Source organism: Homo sapiens, chromosome 20, assembly GCF_000001405.40.
Source record: "Homo sapiens chromosome 20, GRCh38.p14 Primary Assembly".
NCBI classification, from domain to species: Eukaryota; Metazoa; Chordata; class Mammalia; order Primates; family Hominidae; genus Homo; species Homo sapiens.
Window position 1 is genome coordinate 46,150,428 of NC_000020.11, and position 8,251 is coordinate 46,158,678.

Genomic DNA, 8,251 nt, shown 5'->3' on the forward strand with positions numbered 1-8,251 from the left:
ACAGGCTTGAGCCACTACGCCTGGCATGGGAGCTTTGTCTCATTCTTTCAGCCCTCCCTTACCTCTTCCCATGTAGAGTTCCATCCCAACTAGGTCCTTTGCCTCCAGTTTTTGGAGGGAAAGGGTAACATTTGCCAAGCATCCTCTGTTGTACCAGGGCCTGGCAAGTCTGTGCTTTCATTGAACTCTTACCACAACCTTTCAGGCTAGATTTTTATAATACCCACTTTGCAGATGAGGAAATGGAGGCACAAGGAGGTTAAGCCACTTGCCCAAGAGCACACAGCCCAGAAGAGTGGGAGCTTTGTATCTGCCAGGATGCTGCCCCAGGTCTTGGAGCAGAGCTTGGGAATGCCCTTGGGATTTGGAGTTCGGTGGCGGGGGTGGGGGGCTGTTGCCTAGGTGGCACGCTGGGGAGGGTATGCTGTTGCTGAATCTAAGCTTGTATTATTTCCACACTGGCAAAACGAATTATTTTCAGTAGACAGGAGGATGGGGTGGGGGTATGGGAGTGGAGGACATTGCGGTGAGACCAAGAGCACTGGCTGCCAGGGCCAGTCACTTGGGGGAAAGGGCAGGGGCTGGCCTTTGCCAGAAGACAGAGATGGATGGTCTGGATCCCAGGCTTAGGTTACCTAAGGGCAGACCAAGACTCAGCTCCTGCATTGGGGGTGGTGGTGGTGGTGTCAGAAATCACTGGAGAAGCCAGGAGGGGGGGCCTACCCCACCTTGGGTGAAGGCCAGGAAGTCTGTGGGGCCTCTGGAATACTAATGGCCTCCGGCGGGTCCTGCAGGATGCAGCAGGCAGGCTGGAGTCTATTTGTCTCTCCATTCTCAACACTGCAGTTTCCTGGAGAGGGGTGATGGGGACCAGGGAGTGAGGACGAGGCTTGGACCAGGGTCTTCGGCTGAACAAGAGCCAGGCTGCAGTGGGAAACACATGCGTGCTGGAACTGGGCTCTACCACTTCCTAGCTGTGTGACCTCAGACAAATCACTTCATCTCTCTGGGCCTCAGGTACGTGTAAACAGGTACAATGATGCTGACCTGAGGGTTGGTGAGGAAGGCGCACAGTGCGTGCTGGCTCAGGAGACGGCGCTCTCTGTTATAAAGCCGTTACCATCCTGCACGTAACAGGCAGGTCCTGAAAATCACCTCCAAGGGGGGTAGAGCCCGAAAATCCCCCAAATCCTCTGGCTAAGAGTGATTTTATTTTATTTTTTAAAAAGAAATAAGGAATATAATCCTCAAAAGATTTTCCCTTTTGGCTCTAAAAAAAAATCTAATATCTTCATTTCCATCCCCCCCTTTATAAGCTAATTTGTTGAAAATTAAAATGGGGAACTCACCAAGGCTGGCATTTTAATTGAATCTTGTCTGGTGTCCTCTCTAGGATTCCCTGGCTGGCGTCCTCCATTCAATCCTCCCTGCTCCATTTAGCCCGGTTCCCAACCTTGGTGGGGCCTCGGCGGGACCTTGGTGGGACCTTGGTGGGGCCTGGGACTGGCCCCTAGGGCCCAAGTGACTTTCCATCACGAAAAAGGAGCTTCAGCCTGGCCCCTGCCTACTCCTAGGGGTCATGGGGTCAGAGGGGCCCAGGGCACAATTTCTGATCTGTGCGAGGCCCCCTGCTGGCTGCGCCTGTTTCCTCACCTGGAGATGGGATTCATCTGAATGACTTCACCTAGGACCCAGTACTCCTGGCACAGCCAGCAGATCAATACCCAGTGTTTTGTCCTCACTCACCTCCAAGATCTGGGGGGCTCCCAAAGCGGGGGAAAGCAGGGCTGCCTCGAGCTGCTCCTAGGCCCCCACAGGAGAGCTTCTCTTGCATCCATCCATCCATGGGTCATCCAGCCGCAGGTTAGAAAGCCAGTTAGCGGCTTCCCCCACTTTCAGGGATTTTGGTAATAATAATAATGCTTCTTTTTTTTTTTTGAGACGGAGTCTCACTCTGTCACCCAGGCGGGAGTGCAGTCACATGATGTCGGCTCACTGCAACCTCTGCCTCCCGACTTCAAGCAATTCTTGTGCCTCAGCCTCCCGAGTAGCTGGTATTGCAGGCGTGTGCCACCATGCCTGGCTAATTTTTGTATTTTTAGTAGAGATGGGGTTTCATCATGTTGGCCTGGCTGGTCTCGAGCTCCCGACCTCAAGTGATCTGCCTGCCCCGGCCTCCCAAAGTGCTGGGATTATAAGCGTGAGCCACCGCCCCTGGCCAAACAATGCTTCTTGAGTACTTAAGTCCTGTCAGACATGCTACCTGCAGAGTCTTATTTTGTGCTCATAACAACCCAAAGAGGAAGGAACTATCGTTATTATTATATTATTGAGACAGGGTCTCACTGCCACCCAGGCCTGGAGTGCAGTGGTGCAACTGTAGCTCACTGCAGCCTTGAACTCCTGGGGTCAAACAATCCTCCTGCTTCAGTATCCTGAGCAGCTAGGACTACAGGCCCATGCCACCAAGCCTGCCTAATTTTTATTTTTAGAGACAGGGGTCTCGCTATGTTGCCCAGGCTGGTCTCAAACTCCTGGCCTCAAGACAGCCTCCTGCCTAGGCCTCCCAAAGCCCTAGGATTACAGGTGTGAACTGTAGTGCTTGGTCTGGAAGGAACTATTATGATCTTCCCATTTTATGGGTGAAGAAACTGAGGCTCAGAGAGGATTAGTAACTCCCAAGGCCACGGAGCCAGATTTAATGGCAGAGCCCGGATTAGAAGTCAGGCCATCTCACCCCAGAGGCCCCCTCAACTCAGCCTCAGTTTCCTGATTTTGGATTAAAGTGCGTTTGCCCTGGCCCTGGGTTCCTGGCGTGTCCCTGGGCCCTCGCCGTACTGCCCTCTGCAGCCTGCCTTGTCCAGGACCGGCGGGCGGGCCAGGGACTGAGGGGAAGACAGGGGCTCTCCGTGCCTCATCGCCCTGTCCCCCACCCCGAGGCCCAGCCCAGAGGCGGGCTTCCTCCTCTGCCCCGCGGGGGGCCGCAATAATTGCTAATCAGCCACCGCTAATTATCCGGCCCATGGAGAGGTGAGCGCAGCAAGGGAGCGCGGAGGCGGCGCAGAACCCGGGTTCCAGCCCAGGCTCGCGCAGCGGGACGCTGGCACGACGCTCTTCATGCTCTTCGTTTCTGGGCCTTGGTTTCCCTGGCTACACGTAGGGGTGGGAGAAGGCAGTAAGTAGGGCTCTAACTCTGAAATGCAAGGGAAAGAGCCTCGCTGCCTACCCCAAAGAAAGCTAAGGTGGTTGACCAGCTTTTGATTGGAGGCTGAGCTCAGCCTGGCTGCCTGCTTTAAAACCTGGATGCTGGGGTAACGAGGTGGTCAACTCTCACTTTTCTCATCCATTAAAGTACTGATATCCACTTAAAACGGTTATAAGGGTTCAATATGGTATTTGGAATCGTTCCTGACGTACAGTAAGTGCTCAATAAATGAAGCTTACGGCTAGGGAGCATTATGCTTACGTTATCTCATTTAATTCTCAGAACAACTTGGGGAGGGAGGCATTATGACAGATGGGGAAACTGAGGCTCAGAGAGGCGAAACCCCTTGTTTCGTGAACCAAGCATCCATTCATCCCTGCATCCATGCTGAGCATTTGCTGAGCACTTACCATGCTCCAAGCTCATTGCTGACACAGACAGACTACCTCCCGCTGCCTTGGGGCTCAGGCTCCAGCAATTTGAATTTCCACCCCTCTGGCTCTCCCTGAGAGGGACACCTCCCCACTCCCTTGTAGTAGCTGGGGAGGATATAAGGGGAGGCCCACCCCGTGGACACCCTTGGGGTTCGGGTGCCTAATGATCCCCCTTCCCATCAACAACTCATGTAAATTTCTTTCGTAATTACACTGAAAGCTATCAAACTATCTAATTTAATTTCTCTGCAAAAATAAATAGCTAAAGTGGCCCTAGGTACTGGCATAAATCCTTCAGGCAGAACAGTCTTAGATTGCTGCTTGTGCAGGCCTGACTGGCCACAATACACACTTAATAAGCACATATTTATTGGGCCCGTGCCCCCCTTTGGAAGAAGAGGCAGGGATTCTGTTGACTCAGCCAGAAGGAGAGGAAAGCGATTGGGGCCATGGTGGTAATGTGAGGAGGAGAGGAGGGAGCGGAGGGAAAATATGCTGGGTAATTAATTATCCGTCTTTGTACATCCATAACTTTTTATGCAAAACAAATATGCAAATGCTGCCTAACTGGTTGCCGCTGCCTAACTGGTTGCCTTCACCTGGGTCTGCCTCCAACATGAGTGTTAATGTGCAGTTGGGCCTGTGGGGAGGAGGCCTGTCTGCAAAGTGGGCCAGGGCTGGGTCAGTGTCTCCTCTCTCCCTCACTTGCTGTGGCTCCCCTGGTCCACTGGGCCCCGCATCATTACTCCAATGTGCTTACCCAAGGCCAGTGGGTTATGCCTTCTTAATATCACTCTTCAGCAGTCCCATCTCTCTTCCTGGATGCTATGGCTCAGCATCAGATGACATCCTTTTTTTCTGGCTTGTTTCTTCCTCTCCAACCTCATTTCCTGTCCTTCTCCCTCTTGCCTGGAGTGCCCCCACCCAGGCTCGCTGCACCTCAGGCCCTTTGCACTGGCTTTATCTCTGGAATGCTGTGTTTGCAGGGTCAGCTCTTTCTTTTCATTCAAGTTTAAGGTCAATGTTGCCTTCCCCAACCACCCAGTTGAAAGTGCCCCTTTTGGTTTTTTGCTACCTTGTTTTGCTGTTTTTTTTTTCAATAGTACCTATTACTCTGATAATTTTCCTTTTTTATGTATTAGTTTTTCAAATTTCTTTTTCTCTCCCGCTGGAATGTAACTTCCGAGAGAACAGCCTTGTGTTATTTATTGCTGTATCCCCAGTGACTAGAACAATATGCATAGTTGGTCCTTGCAAAATGTGCATTACCTGAATGAATGAATAAAGGGAAGAAGAGCTTCCTCACTCCCATTTTTGTTCCCCAGTCACTCTCTTCTATTTATGCCATTCAAGATAATCTTAAAAACACGAATCCTACTGTGGACAACCTTCCCTGACTCCTTAGTTCTTTGGAATAATATCCAAGTTCCTTTTCCTGCCCCTTTATGACCTGGCCTCTGTTCACCTCTCCAGCACTCTCTCTATCCACCTCAGTTCCCTTCATCCTACACACACATTGGCCTTCACACGAAGCACCAGGCTTCCAGCCCTGCACAAATTGTTCTGGTTGCCAAATTCTCTTTCATACCCTTCTTTGCTTGGTCAACTCCACCTTGTCTTTTGTGTCTCAGTCAGGCATTACCTCCTCCAGGAAGCCCTCCTGTGTAACCTCCTTTTTGCCTTTCTCCGTTGTGACACTTTCCACTTTGCCTTCTTACCTTTCTGTTACCTTTTGTAGATGGAGAGCTTCAGGAAGGCAGGAATGGTATCTAGTTTCTCATCATTTAGGCAACAATTGCAGAACTGGAATATGAACCAGATTCTGAATTAAGAAGATAGGTTCTGGAGCCAGCCTGCCTGGATTCATATGCCAACTCTGCTATTTACCGGCCATAGTAGCTGCCCTCTAAGATGGTTCCCGATGGGGTTGTGGCATCTGGTATTCTTGCCTTAGTGCAGACCCCCTCCCCTAGACTTTGAGCTGGACCTAGTGACCTGCCTCTAATAATACAACATAGCAAAAGTAATAGGATGTCACTTCTGAGATTAGGTTATAAAAAGATTGTGGCTTCTTTCCATCTTGCGCACCCTCTCTTGCTTGCTGTCTTGAGGGCAGCCAGCTGCTATGTTGTGAACTGCCCCATGGAGAGGCCCACGTGGCAAGGAGGTGATATCTCCAGCTCTACAGGCACCGGCTAAACTCCACATGGGTTCCTGGCCTGCAGAAACTGTGAGATAACAAATGTTTTATTGTTCGTTTGTTTGTTTGTTTGTTTTGAGATGGAGTCTCGCTCAGGTGGAGTGCAGTGGTGTGATCTCTGCTCACTGCAACCTCTGCCTCCCGGGTTTAAGCGATTCTCCTGCCTCAGCCTCCTAAGCAGCTGGGATTACAGGCGTGTGCCACCACGTACGGCTAATTTTTGTATTTTTAGTAGAGACAGCTTTTCACCCTGTTGGTCAGCCTGGTCTCAAACTCCTGACCTCGTGATCTGCCCACCTCGGGCTTACAAAGTGCTGGGATTACAGGTGTGAGCCACCGCGCCTGGCCAGCAGTGGATAATTAAATACTGAGTAATCATGGGGAAGTTACTAGATCTTTCTGTGTGTCAGTTTCTGTATCTATAAAATGGGGATAGGCTGGGCGCGGTGGCTCACGCCTGTAATCCCAGCACTTTGGGAGGCTGAGAAAGGCGGATCACTTGAGGTCAGGAGTTTGAGACCAGCCTGGTCAACATAGTGACCCCCGTGTCTACAAAAAAATATAAAAAATTAGCCTGGTGTAATAGCGCATGCCTGTAGTCCCAGTGACTCGGGAGGTTGAGGCAGGAGAATTGCTTGAACCTGGGAGGTAGAGGTTGCAGTGAGCCGAGATCATGCCACTACACTCCAGCCTGGGCAACAGAGTGAGACTCTTTGTCTCAAAAATAAAATAAAATAAAATAAATAAAATGGGGATAATGATTGTACCCACCTTGTGGGCTTGTTTTGAGGGTTGAATCAGTGTATGTAAAGCTCTTAGCATAGTGCCTGGTATACAGTAAGTGCTGTGTAGGTGTAGCTCTTATATTCTCAGGACCTAGGAGGTGCTTAATAAGTGTTGAGCAGAAATAAACATGATCAGATAGTAGTTACTGTTTACTCCTCCCTCGACATGAAGGTCCCGCTTCTCCAGATGGCATTCAAGGCCCATTATGACTCCCTGACCTCGGCCAGTTTCATGGCTGTGGTGCTGGACACTGTTCAGCCCGCCATATCTCATTTCATTCTTATCATAGAGCTACCCTATGAGGTTGGAACTGTTTCACAAACGTAGAGACCTGGCTTCAGAGAGGTTAAGTAACTTGCTCAAGGTCACACAGTGAGAACAAGGTTAAGCTAAGATTTGAATCCAGGAATGTCTAGCTTCTGGTTCAGCTTATTTGCACGTCCTCAGTGCCTCCCAAGGGCCTGGCATAAGTAGGAAGTGGGTACATGGCCACTGAATGACCAACTGCTTGCCCTGGGTGAATATTAGTCCCCCCATCTCCCGCATTTGTCAGGGAAAAAAACAACAAAAAAGCTCACCCCTGCCGAGAGATTTTGGAGAGCAATGCTTAACCCAGAGGACCGACCCGCCAATGGGGGCCTGGGGCATATGCCCAGGGGCCCTGCTCAGTGGCCTGCTTTAATGCAGGGGGAGGAAGAGGCAGTGGGAGCCAGCAGGGAGAGCTGCCCATTAGCCCTAATTAGCAGCCCGTTTGGAAAAGAGCTTGGGCAGAAATTAAGATGCTGTCAGTGGGTCCCAGCTGGGTCGTAGCAGATTGGCAGCTGCAACATTTCCAGAGCCTGAGCTTGAAACACCCAGCTGGGAAAGCCTCTCTGCCTGTTTCCACCTGGACCCAGCGGCCCCTGGGAGACAGCCAGACCCTCTTCCAGCCAGACAGTGGTCACCAAGACACCCCCACCCCCTACCATGCGTGCAGAGCACTCACAAAGCCCCCACTCCTTGGTTGTCTCTGTGGGGCCTCCTACACTCCTGCAAGATGGAACTTCTATACCTGTTTTGCAGAAGAAGAAACAGAGGTCATGAGAGCTTTACTGCTGTGCCCAAGACCCACAGTTAGGAAATGGCAGAGTTTCGGGGGAACCCTTGGCCCAGTGCCCTAAGCCCAAGGCTTGGGGATGGGAAGAGGAGGCCCCAGAAGGATCCTGACTAGGGCTGGGATAGGCGGTTAGCAGGAGGACAGGGGAAAGTGCCTAGGCCCCAAGTCACCATCATTGACTCCATCCCCTTACCCCAACCCAGGGGAGGGAAGAGTGCCACCAGTGCCACCTCTTCTGCGGGAAGAAACAAGTTATGCCATAGAGGTGGGCCGGGTGGAGGGGGAAATAGAAGTGGAAGAACAGGAAAACCAAACGTCAGGAAGGACCCAGCCTGCCTCCCAAATCTTCACTTCCTCTCTTAAAGTGCTAAGAATAAACTAGGATTTAAAATCAAGCTAAAAATAAAAAAAAATCACAAAACCCTAAAGCTGCCTTCCAAGAAACCAAAGGCAGTGATTCGGGCAGCAGACATGCTGTGGGAAAGCCTTGCTGGACGGCAGGCAGGGCTGTGCAGTGGGAGGTGGGCCAA

The 8,251-nt window shown here is 51.1% G+C and overlaps 1 annotated feature.

Annotated features, from left to right (window-relative positions):
* Positions 2,485–3,026: an enhancer, noted in NCBI's record as "H3K4me1 hESC enhancer chr20:44781551-44782092 (GRCh37/hg19 assembly coordinates)". NCBI's record gives its function as "activates a minimal SCP1, AML or CMV promoter by ChIP-STARR-seq in primed H9 embryonic stem cells {active_cell/tissue: H9 hESC(primed)}" and the evidence as "EXISTENCE:reporter gene assay evidence [ECO:0000049][PMID:30033119]".